General features: G+C 39.7%; 1 protein-coding gene across 17 annotated transcripts in view, besides 1 other annotated feature; it reads right to left on the bottom strand.

The window, feature by feature from the left end:
* The window catches only part of TARBP1 (tRNA guanosine 2 -O-methyltransferase TARBP1), an 87867-nt gene that overhangs the window by 27252 nt on the left and 41701 nt on the right, over nucleotides 1-18914 (bottom strand). For 11 of the 17 annotated variants that reach the window (XR_007063103.1, XR_949157.3, XM_005273234.4 and 8 more), the window contains 9 exons: nucleotides 18711-18808; nucleotides 14846-15007; nucleotides 11523-11737; nucleotides 10852-11113; nucleotides 10572-10760; nucleotides 9012-9202; nucleotides 8753-8824; nucleotides 7109-7229; nucleotides 2138-2248 (listed from right to left, as the gene is read on the bottom strand). Coding sequence is in view for 15 of the 17 variants with exons in the window: in XM_005273234.4 (XP_005273291.1) it covers nucleotides 2138-2248; nucleotides 7109-7229; nucleotides 8753-8824; nucleotides 9012-9202; nucleotides 10572-10760; nucleotides 10852-11113; nucleotides 11523-11737; nucleotides 14846-15007; nucleotides 18711-18808 (1421 nt within the window). In the remaining 2 variants the exon portion in view is untranslated. The remainder of the gene's footprint in view (nucleotides 1-2137; nucleotides 2249-7108; nucleotides 7230-8752; nucleotides 8825-9011; nucleotides 9203-10571; nucleotides 10761-10851; nucleotides 11114-11522; nucleotides 11738-14845; nucleotides 15008-18710; nucleotides 18809-18914) is intronic. The other 6 variants (XM_047429060.1, XM_011544263.3, XM_047429072.1 and 3 more) reach the window with 3 other exon arrangements.
* Nucleotides 15112-15181: a silencer, noted in NCBI's record as "silent region_1969". NCBI's record gives its function as "represses an Ori minimal core promoter by ATAC-STARR-seq in GM12878 lymphoblastoid cells {active_cell/tissue: GM12878}" and the evidence as "EXISTENCE:reporter gene assay evidence [ECO:0000049][PMID:35858748]".

Here is an 18914-nt window from a genome sequence, read left to right on the forward strand (position 1 = left end):
AGATCTGCCAAGATGCCAGGGCTTAAACCTTGTAACAAGGGATGGTACAGAGACTGAAGTCAGCAGGTGGGAAACAGCATCCCAGAGGGGCAGGTCTTGGGCCACTGAGCCCTCTGTTCAGGCTCGTCGTCCTCCTGCCCTCATGGTCTGTGTTGCCCCACAACTACCGCACTGTTCTCTGGCTAAGACCTTGAGCTCCAAAATCATCTTTCCCTCTTCCAACCTCTCCTCTTCAAAACTGTATTTCTATCGGGGGACGGAACCTATCTAAGCAGCAGGTGAAAAACAATATCTACTTATATAAGCATATAAAAGTAATATGTATTGGCCGGGCACAGTGGCTCATGCCTGTAATCCCAGCACTTTGGGAGGCCGAGGCGGGCGGATCACAAGGTCAGAAGATCGAGACCATCCTGGCTAACACGGTGAAACCCCGTCTCTACTAAAAATACAAAAAATTAGCCGGGTGAGGTGGTGGGCGCCTGTAGTCCCAGCTACGCGGGAGGCTGAGGCAGGAGAATGGCGTGAACCCTGGGGGGCGGAGCCTGCAGTGAGCCGAGATCGTGCCACTGCACTCCAGCCTGGGTGAAAGAGCAAGACTCCGTCTCAAAAAAAATAAAAATAAAAATAAAATAAAATAAAATAAAAGTAATATGTATTATGTACGTCTTTATTTTAAAGAAGAAAAATCTATCTTACACGAATTTCTACTTAGTAGAAAAAGAGCAGAAGGGCTCATTTTAAGCCCTGAGATAGTGTCATAAAGTGGAGCATACATTTTGTAGTTAGGCTTGATTTTGAATTCCACCTCTATCATTCACCACTAGCTGTGTAACCTCTCGGGAAGGACACCTAACCTCTCTCAACTGCAGTGCTCTTAGAGGCAAAATGAGAATATGTATGGCCTACCTTGGAAGACTATCATGAAGGTTAAACAAAACCATAAGATATAACAGTTTACAACTCTGAGCTCCATAACAGACTGCTAGCTTTCCTTTTTCTTGCAGGTGTGCCCGCTCGGACATTTCCCCACCCTCTCCAACATTACCCTTCTCTCTAGGAGACCCTCTCCATTCTAAGAAAAAAATGCTCTCGGTAATCTAGTTGAGCATTTCTAAAATGTTTCCTTTTTTAATGCATCCTTATGTTTAATGACATACTTTAAATCAAATAATACTAAAAGACCTATGATGAAAAATAGCAACCTCCCCCACCCCCCACATCCATCAAAACTACTCCCCAGAAGCAATTCTTTTAGCTATTTCCTCTTAAATTATTCCAAATTGTTTTATTTGAATATACTTATATACTTACACTGTTACTATTTCTCTCTCACAGATATAAGACTTCATAAGATTGTAAAGAAAGAGGCTAGTATATATATTTGTAATTCTCTCACACATTTAAAAGAAGGTAGGGAGGACAGTAGGAAATTTTCATGTCTGAAAGATGTTTTTTGCATTGAAAAATGTTTTTAAAAATTGCATGAGTTATATACCATCACTTTCTCATAATGATGATCTATTTTCTCAACAGGAATATTAGGCAAAGATGGTTAGAAAAATCAGATCGTCCATTCAACTGTTTCTTGCCTCCTCAGGGAAGAAAAGGTAACTTTGGATAAAGATACTTTGTTGTAAGATACCTGGCCTTTCCTTAGCTGGTTTGTATGGTCACACTATTCATGAAGTTAAGGGCAAGGAAATCCACCATGTGAAACAATATTCCCATCCCAAATGATACAATTTGCCTGGTTTCTACAGTACAGATAATCCAAAACAGTGTAACACTCCAAAATAACGTAGCTACAGAAAATTAGGAGTTAAGTATTTGCATTTTCTAATCAAATGGCAAATCAGACTTTAAACAGTTAAAATGTCACATTAAAACACCGAAGGGAAAAAAATATTAAATGGGGCCATGTAAACCCACTTCTAACTTATTTCTACAATACCTAATTGCCTTGGTATTCTCTCTGTTAATAAAAACTTTTGAATAACTTCAATTTTAAGAACTGCAGAATAAATTTTAAACATTATCTTTTTCAATTTTAAAATAGTATATGATAGTTTCTGCAAAATAGTTCAGTCATGAAATCATATGCTTCAAAGGTACAAATATAATAAAAATATGATACCTGGTCAAGTCTAGGGAAAAGTACCAGCAGAGTCTGCCACACTCGGTTTTTCACTCTGTGCTGTAGAGAATTCACATAGTAGCGTTTTTTGGACTTGGACACTAATTCATCCTGGAAAGGAGAAGGGAGGGAGTCAACATTAAATTATCTATTGAATTTGTGATTAATGAAAAAATCAATGACAACTTGAAATGTAAGTGGCTTAAATTAGGCACAGGGGCTTTTTCTTCCCCCAAAAAGCAGTTAGGAGGATGAGAAAAAGAATGGCACCTTAAAATATTTCAAACATTGACATTTTGGGCTGAGTGATTAAGAAAAATAAAAAAATTTTTAAATAAAACACTTCAAACACTGAACTTAGTTGCTTTTAACTTACATGTTTTTTGTTTGTTTGTTTTCTTTTTTGAGATGGAGTCTTACTCTGTTGCCCAGGCTGGAGTGCAATGGCGTGATCTCAGCTCACTGCAACCTCCGCCTCCCGGGTTCTAGCAATTCTCCTGCCTCAGCCTCCCGAGTAGCTGGGACTACAGGCGCCCGCCACCACACCCAGCTAACTTCTGTATTTTTAGTAGAGATGGGGTTTCACCATGTTGGCCAGGCTGGCCTCGAGCTCCTGACCTCAGGTGATCCACCCGCCTCAGCCTCCCAAAGTGCTAGGATTACAGGCATGAGCCATGGCGCCTGGCTAAGTGTTTTTAAAATTAGAAGAGGGCCAAAAAACTGGGAGCTATGGGTTCCAGGGGCGAAAAGAGATTGAGATACTGGACATATATTGCCACATACTACCATGTACCTCACAGGCACTTCTCACCTTGTGCCCCCGTGTCATATTCACATTTGGAATACTGGTATCTACAATCTGATGCAAACACCACTAAGAAGCCACCCCAGTACATGGACAGTGCAAGGCATCTCTACGCATGACGTGTCTCTCGACACAAGAAAATGGCAGCACTGAGCCTTTCCTAGTAACAGATAGCTCTCTCTGGCTTTTCATGGCTTGTGCCGCCTAAATTCAGCCAGCTGCAAGGTTTGCTTTTATCACCATAACTATTAGTGCTTTGGCCATAAAGCAAGATGGCACTGAAGAGTATGTCAACATTCTCAAATGTCTTAAAGGTGAAAAGTCATTCACCACCTCCAAAACCATTTTCACATAGTGTAGATGATCCTCATCTACTTCATAACTTCTCTGACCTTTCTTCTTCCATAATCTCGTTCTCTGCATTTTAGTGTATATAAAGTTTCATGACAATAGCTAAATTAATATAGATTTTAATGACTCCAGTGATGTTTAAAATCTCATAATCTCTATATAATTTCTGTTAAGAATTTTCTTCTGATATAGGTGTGTTTAGGTTTCACATACTGCTCAACCTCAATGCAATTAAAAATGGAATCAGTAGGGTGGATCATTCACGCATTCAGAAGAAGCATCTTCATGTCAAGAAAGCTGCCCTTAGGACCTCACCAAGTCACCACCCTCAACTGGAAGTTGAGAATTCTAAAATTCCCTTTCAGCTCAAAATCTTCTTCTGTCTTTCTACTTGTTCCACTCAGTGTGCTCCTTTACTCAGAATATCTTTTCTCTACTAGTCTGTTTAACTCATGGCCAGGTACTACTGAAGAAAATAAAAATCACCAGCCACAACTGACTTCATTAAAAATATGTATTCCACACAATGGAGTACTATTTGGCCATAAAAAAGAATGAGATCCTGTCATCTGCAACAACATGGATGGAACTGGAGGTCATTATGTTCAGTGAAATAAGCCAGGCACAAAAAGACAAACTTCTCATGTTTTCACTTATTTGTGGGAGCTAAAAAATAAAACAATTGAACTCATGGAGATAGAAAATAGAATGATGGTTGCCACAGAGGCTGGGAGGGGTAGTGGTGGTAGGGGGAGGGTGTGGGGATGGCTAATGAGTATAAAAATATACTTAGAATGAATAAGATCTAGTATTTCATAGTATAACAAGGTGGCTACAGTCTACAGTAAGTTATTGTACATTTTAAAATAACTAACAGTATAACTGGATTGTTTGTAACATAAAGCATAAATGCTTGAGGTGACAGATATCTCATTTACCTGATGTAATTATTACACATTGTATGCCTATATCAAAATATCTCATACACCCCATAAATATATACACCTACTATAGACCCACAAAAATTAAACATTTAAAAATATGTATTCCAGCTGTATCTGGGCCTTCATTATTGCTAGACCAATAGTTCTTAAACTGTATCAGCTCCAGAATCACAAGGGCTCATTAAAACAGAGTGCTGGGCACCACCCCCAGAGCTTCTGATTCTGTAGACTGGGGGCAGGGCCTAGGAATATGCATTTCTAACAAGTTCCCAGGGATGCTGACGCTGCTGATCCAGAGACCACACTTTAAGAATTACTGCTCTAGACAAGCATTTTGCTTTTTCTAGTCCGTTTTCCAAAGCAGCTGCACTGTTCTGTATTCCCATTAGTGATGCAGGAGGGCTCCAATTTTGCTACAACCTCACCAATGCTCATTATTTTTAGTTTGTTTTCTTGATAGCCATCCCAGTGGGTACAACTGGCTAGTATTTTGCCTATGTGATTATTGCTGGCCTCTCCCTGTCACTTTTCCCTCTCTACTGCACCACTTCCTTCAACATACAAACATGCTCCAATTATCTCCCATCTTTAAAAAGCCCCTTCTTTAACTCCAGGTTCCCCTCCAGGAACGACCCCTGTTATTCCCCCTTTTCTAGGGCAAACTCCTAAGAGACTCTATACTCACTGTCTCCACTCGCTAAACTCCCATTTTCTTCTGAACTGTTTCTACTTAGATTCTCATCCCACCATGAAACGCCTTTGTCGAGGTGACCAAGACAGCTGAATCCAACAGCCGGCCTGCAACCTCCTCGTCCTCCACGCAGCACTACCTTTCCTCGCTTGGTCTCCAGACAGCATCCTCTCCAGGTGTCCTCCTTAATTCATCCAGAGCTCAGCCCAAATGTCACCTGATTAGACCCTCCTGACCCCTCTCTCTTTTTTCTGAATTTTTTTTTTTTTTTTTTTTAGAGACGTAGTCTCACTCACTGTGTTGCCCAGGCTGGTTTCTAACTACTGACCTCAAGCAATCCTCCTGCCTTGGCCTCCCAAAGTGCTAGGATTACAGGCGTGAGCCACCATGTCTAGCCCTGACCCCTTATCTAAATAGCTAAATATATATTATAACATGTATTTTTGTTCTGATAGAATACCCATACCCAGCTCCTATCACTTTAAACTCTACTCATCTTTTAGAAAACCAATAACATACTATTTCCTCTGGGACATCTTCCTTGACTCCAACACTACAGAGAGGGAATTGTTGCATAAAAAATATTTCCAAGGTTTTATATAATAAAGCTGACCTGCTACCTTCAGAAAATAAAAGTATGATGAATACTCCTGTTTTAACAGAGGGACTTCCATGAGTTCTGTAGTCATTCATACATCCACACCAAGGTCAGAAAGCAGACCAGGCACTCCGCTGACCTCGGCTTTAAATGACAGGTAACTGTATCTGTCATTTAAACATTACATGGGGAACAGAGCACCATGCTCAACTCTACCCCTTCCTATCTAACTTGTCTCCAGATTTATTAAACCTGTTCTTCAGACACTAGAGTGTTCATTTAGAAATGATTTAGCAGGCTCAAAAACAACCTAACTGGATTGTTTTTATCTGAATAAATAACGAATTTTCATCAGTCTTAGACAAACATCACACACCCAGATCTAGAAATAACAATATATTACAATGGAAGCAAATCCTGGGGTAATCTTTCACGGGCTCTCAAATCACAGCAATCAATTCCTAACATTTGATGCCATTTTCTCAGTTTTTACTTTTTCATTCCATTTCTTACAGAAAGCAATATATGAATATAGTACTCTAAACATAACTGGGGCCAAGCACAGTAGCTCACACCTCTAATCCCAGCACTTTGGGAGGCCAAGGCAAGAGGATCACTTGAGGCCAGGAGTTCGAGACCATTCTGACCAACATGGTGAAACCCTGTCTCTGCTAAAAATACAAAAATTAGGCCAGGCACAGTGGCTCATGCCTGTAATCCCAGCACTCTGGGAGGCCAAGGAGGGTGGATTACCTGAGGTCGGGAGTTCGAGACCAGCCTGACCAACATGGAGAAACCCCGTCTCTACTAAAAATACAAAATTAGCCGGGCATGGTGGCGCATGTCTGTAGTCCCAGCTACTCGGGAGGCTGAGGCAGGAGAATCACTTGAATCCAGGAGGCAGAGGTTGCAATGAGCCAAGATCGCACCTTCGCACTCCAGCCTGGACAACAAGAGCGAAACTCCGTCTCAAAAAAAAAAAAAATTCGCTGGGCATAGTGGTGGATGCCTGTAATCCCAGCTACTCGGGTGGCTGAGGCAGGAGAATCACTTAAACCTGGGAGGCGGAGGTTGCAGTGAGCCGAGATCCCAGATCATGCCATCGCACTCCAGCCTGGGCGACAGAGCAAGACTCTGTCTCAGAAGAAGAAAAAACAAACAAACAAAAAACACAACCGGGTTTGACTGGCACTGGAAAATACAGAGTGAAGTACAGATGGTACACGAAAAACATTACCATTATTGTTCTCTAAAACCAAACTTGAGTTGGACAATTACTAACCAAGATTTTTTTTCTTTTTTTTCTTTTTGTAGAGACAAGGTCTCACTATGTTGCCCCAGCTGGTCGCAAACTCCTGGCCTCAAGCAATTCTGCTGCCTCAGCCTCCCAAAGTGCTAGGATTACAGGCGTGAGCCACAGTGTGACCAGCCCTAATCAAGACTGAATTAAAAATACAGAACATAAACTTTGTGTTTTCTCCTGACAAAAGATATTTAGAAGTACATATTCTAGCAACATAAAGAGCAAATGTTGACCTCTGACTGTTAAAAACAAAGATAATTTAAAGTAAAATACACTTACTTTATCTAATAGCTTGATTGCAAGATCCTCAATAAACAACTTGTGGGACATATTGGAGCCATCTAATAAACACAGGAATTTGACAGCACAAATTCTCACATAATGGTCTTCTCTCTTAGTACTAAAAAAATTAAATGATAAATTATGTTAATACATTTTGAAAACAGAAAATTAACATCAAATATTAGTTTCAAATATCATTACACGATCAAAACCTCTCAAAGTTTTCTAAAATTAAGTAGGTCCATACTTAATGACAATACTTTTTAATTTAGAATAGATAACAGAAGATAACAAATGAATATATTACAAGGAGGGTCTATACAGAAAGTATGAATGAGCACAAATTCATCCAGATTTCTGGAGAATCAATGCACACGCTGCTGAACCTAGTTCAATAATACCTTATTTGTGGACAAAACAGATCACAGCTCATGAGCCTATCCCTGAAAGAGGACCACAGATACCTCCATTCACTCAGGGGCATGATACACATCAAACACGTCAATGGCCTGTCTCTACCATGCACTATCGGTGCACATTCTCCAACTGAGGGGCAAACTCAGGAAGCACTGTGTGCTCTCAACACCCGGCATTTTTAGTAGCCAAATGTGGAAAGATAAATTAAGTGAAATCGTCACATTCCGTTATAATTGTTCACATTTCATTATAATTGTTATAATGTGAATAAATATTTTAATTTAACAACAAAGTAACTGCCTAGTAGAAATCAAAATCAAATTATTTGGCAACCACCAACTAGAAAAATTGACTTTTATTGCCACACTAAGCCAGCCAAGAAAAAATAACTAAAAACAATGAAAAAAATGTATATCTTTCATGAGAAGTGACAGATGATTTACAACACAGTTAGGACTTTCAGAATAATAAATACTTTATGATAACTAAATATTATAATCATTTGATGTCCTAAACTCTAAAATTAGAGTGAATGATACAATGCTATTTTAATCATCTCTATAAACACACGTACACATTTTTGAAAGCCATGTGAAAAAATAAAACTTGAAAAAAAGCTATTTGACAAGCTCCAAAAAAATTAATTCAGTGGTTAGATAAAAATAGTTTTATCGCAGAAATCAAAACTTAGGGCCTATCCCCACACTCATCAAGTTGTACACATTAACTATGTACAGCTTTTTACATGTCAATCATTACTTCAATAAAGAGTTTTAAAAAAACCAAAAACTTCAGAGTCTGTTCCAAGAGTAATTCTATTTTTGTGTGTAACATACCAACTTGTTAAATGGTGAATTTTAATTTCATATTAAACTTTACTGCCAAAAAAAGGACTGGAGAATAAAGTGTCTGTGCTGATAATCATCCCATCCCCGCAAAAGAAAGACAGGGGCTTTAAGCTCTCCATAGTCATTTCCTTGTTTACGCTGGAGTCGGCACTAAAAACTTTTAAAATTTTATCAAATTCTAGTGAATACTGAAAGATGTAAAGACAATGTATTAGCAAGGGACTATAATTTCTAACATACTTTTAAAGGCTCATCCCATCTTATTAATATATTAGATGTCACTTATTAAATTTAGCAAATACAGAATGTTTGTCATATGATGTTAAATTTTTAGTATCTCATTTATGTGAAGACAGAGAAAATCTACCATACTTACTTTTCCATAACAATATTTGCCGCACAGTCATGTCCAAGGTTTTCTATGAAGGTCTGTACATCCTGAACAAGTCTTTCCATAAAAAACATTTGATAAAGAACAACAGGTTTTAAATAGAAAAAAAATTAAATCCCCAAGGTTAAAGTTAACTAATAATTTATATTCTTTTAATTGAAAGCCTCAAAACAAAGACATAATTCTATACCCAAGTAGGCACTTAATACAAGTTATGACCAGTTGAAATAATAGCATCTTTTACCTTTGATCACGCCTAAACACAGTTCCAAATATACAAGCCTCAAGGATAAGTTCGCTATAATTTTTAGCACTTGATAAAGATCCTTGGGACACATTTGAAGCAGACACTATCCAAGACTGACAGCAGTAACTTATCAGTGTATTGAAGACTCCAGTCTTTATAGCAGACATTTCAATTATCTTGTACATAATCTGGAATAAAATACAACCGTCATTTTATCCTTGATTTAGTTTTTAAAAAATCAGTGCTGCTAAAAACTGTTACTTAGTTTCAACATAATCATGAACAGTCTAAAAACTGTTAAATTCATTACTGTTAGAATAACTTTGCGAGATGATCAATAATCAGAGAATGCTATTTCATCTCTTGATAATAAAAATAAATAAAATTTTACTGATAGTGATATTCATCCAGGACTCTTCAAGAGAAACAACTGCCAAAGCAGTAGAATCAAAGGGGAAAAACACCTCACCCCACACACATTCAGCTTCCTTTGTTTGCATTTTGCCAGTGGCCTTCCTTTGGCTGAGGCAGCAAAGACCAGCGTCTCTAACTATGTACTGTGGGGCAGAAAAGGACCAAGAAAGGCAGCACAGGGCTGCAGAGAAATAACGGAATCTGACTCTCCCTGTTCCCCTGGGGATCAGGAGGTACACTGGAACTCCACCTTGGTATGTTCCTATCTCAGTAGCTGCAAATGAAAATACCTCCAGAAACCAGCAAGACCTTTTGATAAGGGTTACAGTCAGAAAAATATTTCTCTACACACACAAAAAAAAACCTCAGCCAAAGTGCAATGACAAATGGCGCCTGACATTTGCCTTCAAGTATCCGGGTGAAATGAGACTGATTGTGGAAAGAGCATGCCAACTCCTACTCAACCGAGCGATCAATTACATTGTCATGGAAGAATGACCAGTGTTGCTAGATTACCTCATTTCCAAGAAATCCAGTTTTTCATACAGATTTCCCAACTTTTTTTTTTTTTGAGATGGAGTCTTGCTCTGTTGCCCAGGCTGGAGTGCAGTGGCGTGATGTCAGCTCACTGCAACCACCGCCTCCTGGGTTCAAGCAATTCTCCTGCCTCAGCCTCCTGAGTAGCTGGGATTACAGGCGTGCGCCACCACACCTGGCTAATTTTTGTATTTTTAGTAAAGACGGGGTTTTGCCACGTTGGCCAGGCTTGTCTCGAGCTCCTGACCTCACGTGATCCGCCCGCCTCAGCCTCTCAAAGTGGTGGGATCACAGGCATGAGCCACCCCGCCTGGCCAGATTTCCCAACAATTAAAAGTTGCCAGGTAATCAAAATTTTAAACACTGTATGAACCAAACAAACCGTTTCTGAGGCAGATGTGGCTCCAGGCTACCGTTTTGTACCTTCTCTTCTACATCTGTCAGATTTTCTCATTCTTACTCTTGATATTTAAGAAGGTTCAAAAATATTTTTGACTGAAGGAATAAAGAGCCAAAAATCTAATTGTGAATACAACTCTCATGTTCCTCATGTGCTGAAGCTCACACACATGAAAAGAAAAGCAAAAAGAAAAGAAAGTTAGTTACCTCTTTTATTTTGAAATATGCCTGGCCCTTGATTTTGGCAGCAATGGTAAGAACTTTGTTATCAAAAACAAACTGAACAAAAGCTTTTAAATTAGCCCAGAATATCAGCTGAGTGTTGCTTAAAGAAGATATAATTTTCCACGCCATGTCAAAAGACTCTATGCAGAGTGATTCAGAGGAAGTCAGAAGCTGGTAGGAAAAAAAAAAATACATACTTATTTCAAAAACTTGATCGCCACTCCTATAGTTACTGTTCAATTCATGTTTCACTCTATCTTACCTTGGGAACCAACACTTTCAAGCAATGGAACACTGGTAAAACTTGATCAGAAGAAAGAACTGTGAGGGCTTCTAGTGCAGACTGCAAAGTCCTTATTGGCATCTGAACGGCAGGTAGAAACGGTTCCAGAATTTCACTCCCTGTGGTTGGTATAAGGGTGTGATATTTTTTCAACAGGAAAGAGAGGCACACCCATTGATCATGAATATATTGTGCAACTATTTTTCCCCATCCTTGGGAAGATGACGATTCTTCCAAAACACTGAAATAAAAAATAAAGTTACTAGGCCATACTTCCCCAATTTGCCTCCACGTCTTTTGCACGTAGCACACTATCCTTTCTAAAGGTGGGGGGGGGGGGGCAGTGTACAGATATAAATGGTCATTATCAAACAGCCTATCTACCAAAAACTAAGGAAACCACATAAACCTTAATTTTCTAACTTCTCTGAAAGTAGGTACTTTTGCTCATCTGAAATGATTCAGTGAAAACTAGATGCAGAAAAGTCAGCAAGTCTCCAGTAACAGAGATGAATAATGTTATACCACACTTTCATCCTGAATGGAGCTTCAGCCCCAAAATTCTATAACTTTATAAGCAATGTTGGGCAATCATGAACTCACGGTGACAACAACAGAAATGGATTTTTAAGCCTTAACCTTCCCTGTACCTGCTGCACTCCAAGGGGTGAGCATAACTGCTCTGCTCCTCTGCGTGGGGCTTCTGCAGCGTCTGATTGAGCTGAAGAGAGGAAAGGAAGCTTTCCAGGGGCCCAGCATGGAGAGAGTCCAGCTGCAGCTCAGGCTTCTGGTCTATGGCCTCACACACCATGGCCAAGGCAGCCATGCTCACTACTCTCTGAATCTGACTTCCAACTGTTGGCTCCTGAAAAGGAAATGTGACAATGTTTTATTTAATATGCACAAGTCTTAATCAGTAATGACCTCAGTTGCCAGTCTATGGAAAGCTCAAGCTCTCCTTTTCCCTCTTCCTGCCTGCTCCTGAATATCAGGAGAAATAAAAGGAAATCCAGTACACATCATTCACTTCCACTACTTCTCTACAGATTGGCAGTGAACAATTTTAAAGTAGCAATAAGAACTCAGCAATTTAGATTAAGACAACAATGGGATCTTTTCATCTGGTAAACAGGTACCTGGAACTAGTACATGACAGATTCGCTACGTACAGAACCCAAAGCTGTGTGTAAGTCCTTCTTGACCTTTCTCCTACTCGCATACACATCTGCATGCAGCATTCCTATGGGTGAGCCTTATTTTAACTGTCTGCTGAAACATGTTAAAAAAAAAAATAAAAGGCTCCAGGTTACAAATAATTCCTTCTATCAGCTGCACGCTACTTTTGGAGAAGTCACGTAGTCCAGCAGTTAAGAGCTGGACTCAGGAACCACAAAGCCCAGGTCTGAATCCTAGCTCTGTGCTACTACCAGTATGAGTGTAGACATACTACACCTTAGTTTTCTCATCTGTAAAATGGGGACAGTAACAGAATCTACTTCACGGGGTTATTGTGAAGATTAAGCAAATGGGTTACTGCATGTAAAACACTTGGAACTCTACACGTAGGAAAGGAGGGTAGCCAAGACAACCTGGTCTATACTTAAAGAGAAAATCGACAATCTCTCACCAAGCTAGGAGTGCAGGCAAGAAGTCAGACACAGAAAACAACAGCACTGAGAGATTACAGCAGTTCCCTCAAATACTGCCAACCAGTAATGTCTGTATCAGAAAGGAAATTTCTACTTATTCCATACCCCTCTTTCACTCTCCAAAAATAAATCAACCATCTCTACAGAAAAATTTTACATATCAACACTGCCAACATATGAAATAGAATTTAGTGTTACCTTTGAGCCAACTATCGTCCCTGCTAACCTTAATGTAATTCAGTGAATTACTAAAGGAAGCCGATTTTTAAGAATAAGAGTTACTGTGGCATGGTTCATGGTTTGGTTGTATATTTAGAACTCACAATGTTCTTTCATAACACTAACAGACTAATAGGTACTAGACAGGATGCTGAAATATTAATCATCGTCTTTATCATTTCCTCCTAGAATTAAATTATTAAAGCAATCGAGTATCTTCTTTGTTTTTCTTAGTAGCCTGGATTAGTTACACTGATTGAGTTCAACTTATTAAACACTTACCACATGTTAAGTGAAAATGGCTAACTTTTATTGAGGACTGTCTATCTGCCAGGTACAGTTCTAAAGACTTAACATGAATGAGCTTTCTTTAATTCCCACATCAACTCTATAATCCCCATTTTGCAGGTGCAGTAAATGAGACACAGAGGGGTTAAATAATGTAGGTCACACAGCAAAAATAAAGCCAGAATTCAAACCCAGCAACTCTAACTCCAAAGCCTGTGCTCTTCATTACTAAGCCTTATTGTGCCATGTTTAAGAAATGCCTTGGCCAGGCGTGGTGGCTCACGCCTGTAATCCCAGCACTTTGGGAGGCCGAGGTGGGTGGATCACCTAGGTCAGGAGTTCGAAACCAGCCTGGCCAACATGGTGAAACTCCATCTCTACTAAACACACAAAAATTAGCCAGGCATGGTGGCGGGCACCTACAATCCCAGCTACTCAGGAGGCTGAGGCAGGAGAATCGCTTGAACCTGGGGGGCCAAGGTTGCAGTGAGCCAACTGCACAACTGCATTCCAGACTTGGCAAAAGAGCGAAACTCCGTCTCCAAAAAAAAAAAAAAAAAGCCTTGAGGCCAGGCACGGTGGCTCACACCTACAATCCCAGAACTTCAGGAGGCTGAGGCAGGCAAATTGCTTGAAGTCAAGAGTTCGAGACCACCCTGGCCAACATGGCAAAACCCCAACTCTACTAAAAATACAAAAATTAGCCGGGCATGGTGGCACACGCCTGTAGTCCCAGCTACTCGGGAGGTTGAGATAGGAGAACTGCTTGAACCCAGGAGGCTGAGACTGCAGTGAGCCAAGATCACGCCACTGCACTCGGTCTGGGTGACAGAGCGAGACTCTGTTCAAAAATATATATATATAGGAAAAGATATATATGCATACATTACTCCAAAAACAAGAAAGATGGAAATACACACTACAAGTGAGGCATAAAGAGCAACAGGAAGATGAAAGAGAGTGAGATACTAATCGAAGAAGACCTCTAAGAGAAAAGAGATTCCAGTTGGTCCATAAAAGGGGAGACCAGATGCTGCCAAGTGTATGCTGGAGGAGAGGGCACTCATTCTCCACGGAGGGACCAGACTGAATGACAGCCTCCATGAGGAAGATAGGACACATGCTTGTGATTTGTAAAACTCTAAGTAGCCTAGAGTGGCTGCAACGTCACGGCACTGTGGGAAGGAGGGGGAAAGGCATTAGACAGTGGACAGCTAGGCTGAAAAATGAGGTAGGAAGCCAAGCATGGAGGGCAATGATGTCAGACTATAAAATGTCCTTTACTGGACACGTTTGGGCAAAAGACCTAGTACAGGTGAAATGTCTATATCTAAATGATTTTAAGATGATGCCTCTTATATGTTTAATATTATATTAAGAGTATCACCTGTAATCCCAGCACTTTGGGAGGCCAAGGCAGGCGGATCACGAGGTCAGGAGTTCGAGACTAGCCTGGTTAACATGGTAAAACCCGTCTCCACTAAAAAATAGAAAAATTAGCCAGCCATGGTGGCACACACCTGTAATCCCAGCTACTCAGGAGGCTGAGGCAGGAGAATCACTTGAACCCAGGAGGTGGAGGTTGCAGTGAGCCAAGATGGTACCACTGCACCCCAGCCTGGGTGACAGAGCCAGACTCCATCTCCAAAAAACAAAAAGTATCAATCTTAACTACATCTTATCACTAGAGGGTATATTTTAAAACTGAATTTTAGTTAACGCTTTGTATGGTATCAAAATAGTGTATAAGAACTGAATATGTATTCCCTGTATGCCTTATTCAAGATAACTACAAACCTTGAATCAAAGAGGCTTACCTGTCCACTGTCCATCTCTTGAAGATGCTGAATGGATGCATTTTTCAAAAGAGAAATAACTCTCCAGATAGGGTTACCCCTTTTCCACCCAACCTTCAAATGCAGATTTATAAGCTCAGTTAACACCATCAGGTATAAATGGCAACGATCCAGATCTGAAACCTAAGACAAGGATTAAAACACTTAAGGGTACAAGCAAGGTCCATGATTTTCACAAAACTACAAGCCTTCAGGCAGGAGAAGTTTACTTAAAGGACCACAACAAGACACTGATGAGAAAATAAGTTCTTTTCTCCAAGCAGCCTTCCATAACCTCCCACGCAGAGCTAAGGACTTCCTTCTCTGTGCTTACACAGTGACTGTGCATTCAGCACAATTATGGTGCATTTCACAGTTGAGTCATCTGTCTCCCTACCTATGAGGGAGACCTTAGATGGCAGAAATTACCATCTACCAATTCTTATGTCCCTAGGGCTAGTACATCATAAATAATAATGATAATGGTTATAGCAATGACTACTTCCACTGTTTACAAAAATCACTTCTCACAAAAAAGATCACTGTCCCACTTTCATAAGACAACTAAGTTTCAGAGAGGTTAAACAACTTAAATGCACATTTTTTGACTCATAAACCCAGAAAAAAATGGGTTCAGCTCTACCATGCACCAGCCCTGTGACATAGGACAAGTTATTTAACTCTTCACTACTAAGCCTTATTGTGTTAAGATCTCATAATTCAGGTGGGGAGATGGATGACTCAATTGTGAAATGTGCCATAATTGTGCTGAATGCAGTCACTGCCTAACCTTGTCCTTGTCCATAATATAGAGATAGTAATATTTATCCATCACAGGGTTTCTGAAGGAATCAATGGGAGAAATTATTACTATATTAATATATCATTACTATACCAGAAGAGGCCTCCTATGGCACATAGAAAGCACACAGGAAGTAATTTAATCAGTTTTTACTGAGCAACCACTGGACGCCAAGCACTTTGCCAGGTGCTGGGATACAGTGCAGACAGAAGGTAACGATTACAAGACTGAACAAAAGGGCAAGAGTGAGGGATGAAGGTGCCAGGAAGGATTCCTAAGTTTTTGGCTTAAGAAACTGGCAGGATGGTGGGACATTCACTGCGACAGTAACCTGGAGAACCTCCTGTAGGAATTATAATGAGGGAGTCAGTTTTGAACAGTGTGAGAAATTCGACTGACACCATCATAGAGCAAGCAACTATGGGCGTTAAGCTCAGAAGGGTGGTCTGAGGTGGAGACAGAGATTTGAGGGTCCCTGGCAGAACTGAAGCTGGGGATGTAGATGAGATCATCAAGTGACAGGGGAGAGAATGAGAAAAGAAGGGGTCAGGGACAAGCTTTAAAGAGCTCTGGCTTCAAAGGTTAGGGAGCAGAGAATGGACATTCAAAGAAGAAATGGAAATAATGGCCAGAAAGATGCAGGGGCTGGGGCAGGAGAAGCATGAGAGAATGACATCATAGAAGTTAAGCAGTGTTTCAAGGGGGAGGTGGTCACCAGTGTTCGCTGGAACTAAAGAATAAAGAAAAATACAGTTTGGAAAGTATCCATTAAGTTTATGAAAAAGAGTCGCTGACATCTTTAGTGAGAGTCATTTCTGTGTTGTAACAAAGATAAAAGTCAAATTAGAATTAAATTGAGTCTGCTTAAAGAGAAGGACATAGGGCGCTAGAAGGGAACATGAAATTGAGAGACGGTTCTTTCAAAATGAGGGACCCTTGGCTGGGTGCAGTGGCTCACGCCTGTAATCCCAGCACTTTGGGAGGTCAAGGCAGGCAGATCACCTGAGGTCAGGGGTTCAAAACCAGCCTGACCAACATAGTGAAACTCCGTCTCTACTAAAAATACAAAAATACAAAAATCTACTAAAAATACAAAAATACAAAAATATTACAGGCGCGGTGGCGCACGCCTGTAATACCAGCTACTCGAGGCTGAGGCAGAAGATTGCTTGAACCCGGGAGGTGGAGGTTGCAGTGGGCCGACATCATGCCACTGCACCACAGCCTGGGTGACAAAGCTGCTTATTTATTTATTAAATAAATAAATAAAATGAAGGATGCTTAAACCTGTTAAAATGCTCATGAAAAGAATTCAGGAGAAAAGTAGTAGTTGAAAACACAAGAAAGAAGACAATCAATAGTGTAAAGTGCTTAAGAAAATAGAGACGGATGAAATCCCAATTTCCTTACTCTCTTGTAACAAAGGGAAGACAGGGAGGATGAATTCAGGTGTGGTTGAGCATATAGCGTAAGTCCATACATCTGGCAACTGGAAATTGAGAGCATTCCAGCCTGACAGCCACTATTTCCTCTGTGAACTAAGACAGGCAGCGGCGTAGCAGCAGACCCAGCCAGCATCGCAAAGACCGAAGATCATATCTCTTTCCAACTCAGTGGCCTCACATTGGTAGGCTGAAATCGGCCGTGGAAATTGGTAAATACTACAGAGGCAGGCTCTTTTTTCCCCTAGAGAGTCAGTCATTAAACACTGACCAGCACACTGCTGACAGGGGAAAGTGTGGGAAGAGAATTTTATTAAACTCTAAGCTACTAAACAAACGTAACTTAAGTGAGAATTCTAATTAATTTATTAAAGAATGGCTTTTTCAAAACAACTTAAAACTATCATATATGGAATTACTTTTTAAAATCTTTGCATCTAAAAGATAAAGTAACATCAAGCTCTCCCTCTGTTTTTAGCTTCAAAATCCAAACAAACAAAAACATGTTATATAATGGGTCATCATATAAGCATAAGGGAGGGTCATTAAACTTCTTTTGTATATGTTTGGAAATTTTCCATACAAACAGGTAAAAATAATACTGAGGATAAAAAGTGGTATTGGAGCAAAACTTAAATTTTAAAGTTACTTAGATATTTAAATGACTTCTTGGTTAAATACATACACTGATTCTGTACCCACAAAAATTAAAAATAAATAAATGCCTTCCTAAAAATGTAGGTGTACTAGAATTCATATTAATGATTGCTTGATAAAAATTAAGGAAGATATAGATAAATATTCCCCACTCCAAAGAGATTTTCATAATAGCTTCCTTGCCTTTCTATAATAAAATCTCAAGTCTTTCAGTTGAATACTTGTATTTTTATATTTTCATACCTGTGTAAGCTGTCAAACAAATGTATTAATATTTAATTGGGTATTTAAATAAAAGTTCTTAAAGTAAGAATGCTTTCTTATTTTATTGGCAATGTAAGCATTCAAATCATTTCAACATTTGTCCCTAGAGATTTTAAACAAACAAACAAAAAATTAAGACATTCATATAAGAACTGGTATTTTCAAGGTATTCTTTAAGGGGAAAAGCTTGTTTAGATGTCCCAAAAGAACAAATTATGTACAGTCTAGAGACAGAGAAGACAGCTACAGTCACAGAGCATCCTCTACACCTAAAACCTAATTGCATTTAAGAATCACTGATGGAGCTTTAACACACACGCACCCCCACTCAGGGTCCGGTCTCAAAGCTGCCACATCAGAATCTTGGGATTGGGCTCCAAAATGCATTGAATGTGTGTAGTACTTCAAATATGTTACATCATTTGAAACTCTCCAAATCCTTGGATGTAAATGGGGTGAGGCTCAGAAGATCTATGTAACTTGCCCAAGGTCACAGCTAACAATACAGATGGAATTGGAACTAGGAGACCCCAAAGTCTAAGGTTTTTTTTGCTGCTTCCTAAGACCGCTTCTTGAGAAAATTAATTTTTCTTTTCAATTTAATACAGTGTCAGTAATCACTCAAATATTGGTGAAAAGAATGAAAGAAATGAAAAAGAAAGTTATTCCACTGAATACTTACACTATTTAGCTCATTCATAGTAAGTCTTCTGAGAATAAATTCAGAAATGCTCTCTGTAGTAGACATGAAAAAGTTCTGAAGAACAGTAGACACCTCATCTGTATGGGGGCAAAAAGCATGCAACTAAAATGACAGCAGTTCTTTGGTACAAAACACACCAGATATTCTAGTAAATGTACAACTGGGCTAAGCACGTGAATCACT

The sequence above is a fragment of the Homo sapiens genome, chromosome 1, assembly GCF_000001405.40.
Source record: "Homo sapiens chromosome 1, GRCh38.p14 Primary Assembly".
Lineage (NCBI taxonomy): Eukaryota > Metazoa > Chordata > Mammalia > Primates > Hominidae > Homo > Homo sapiens.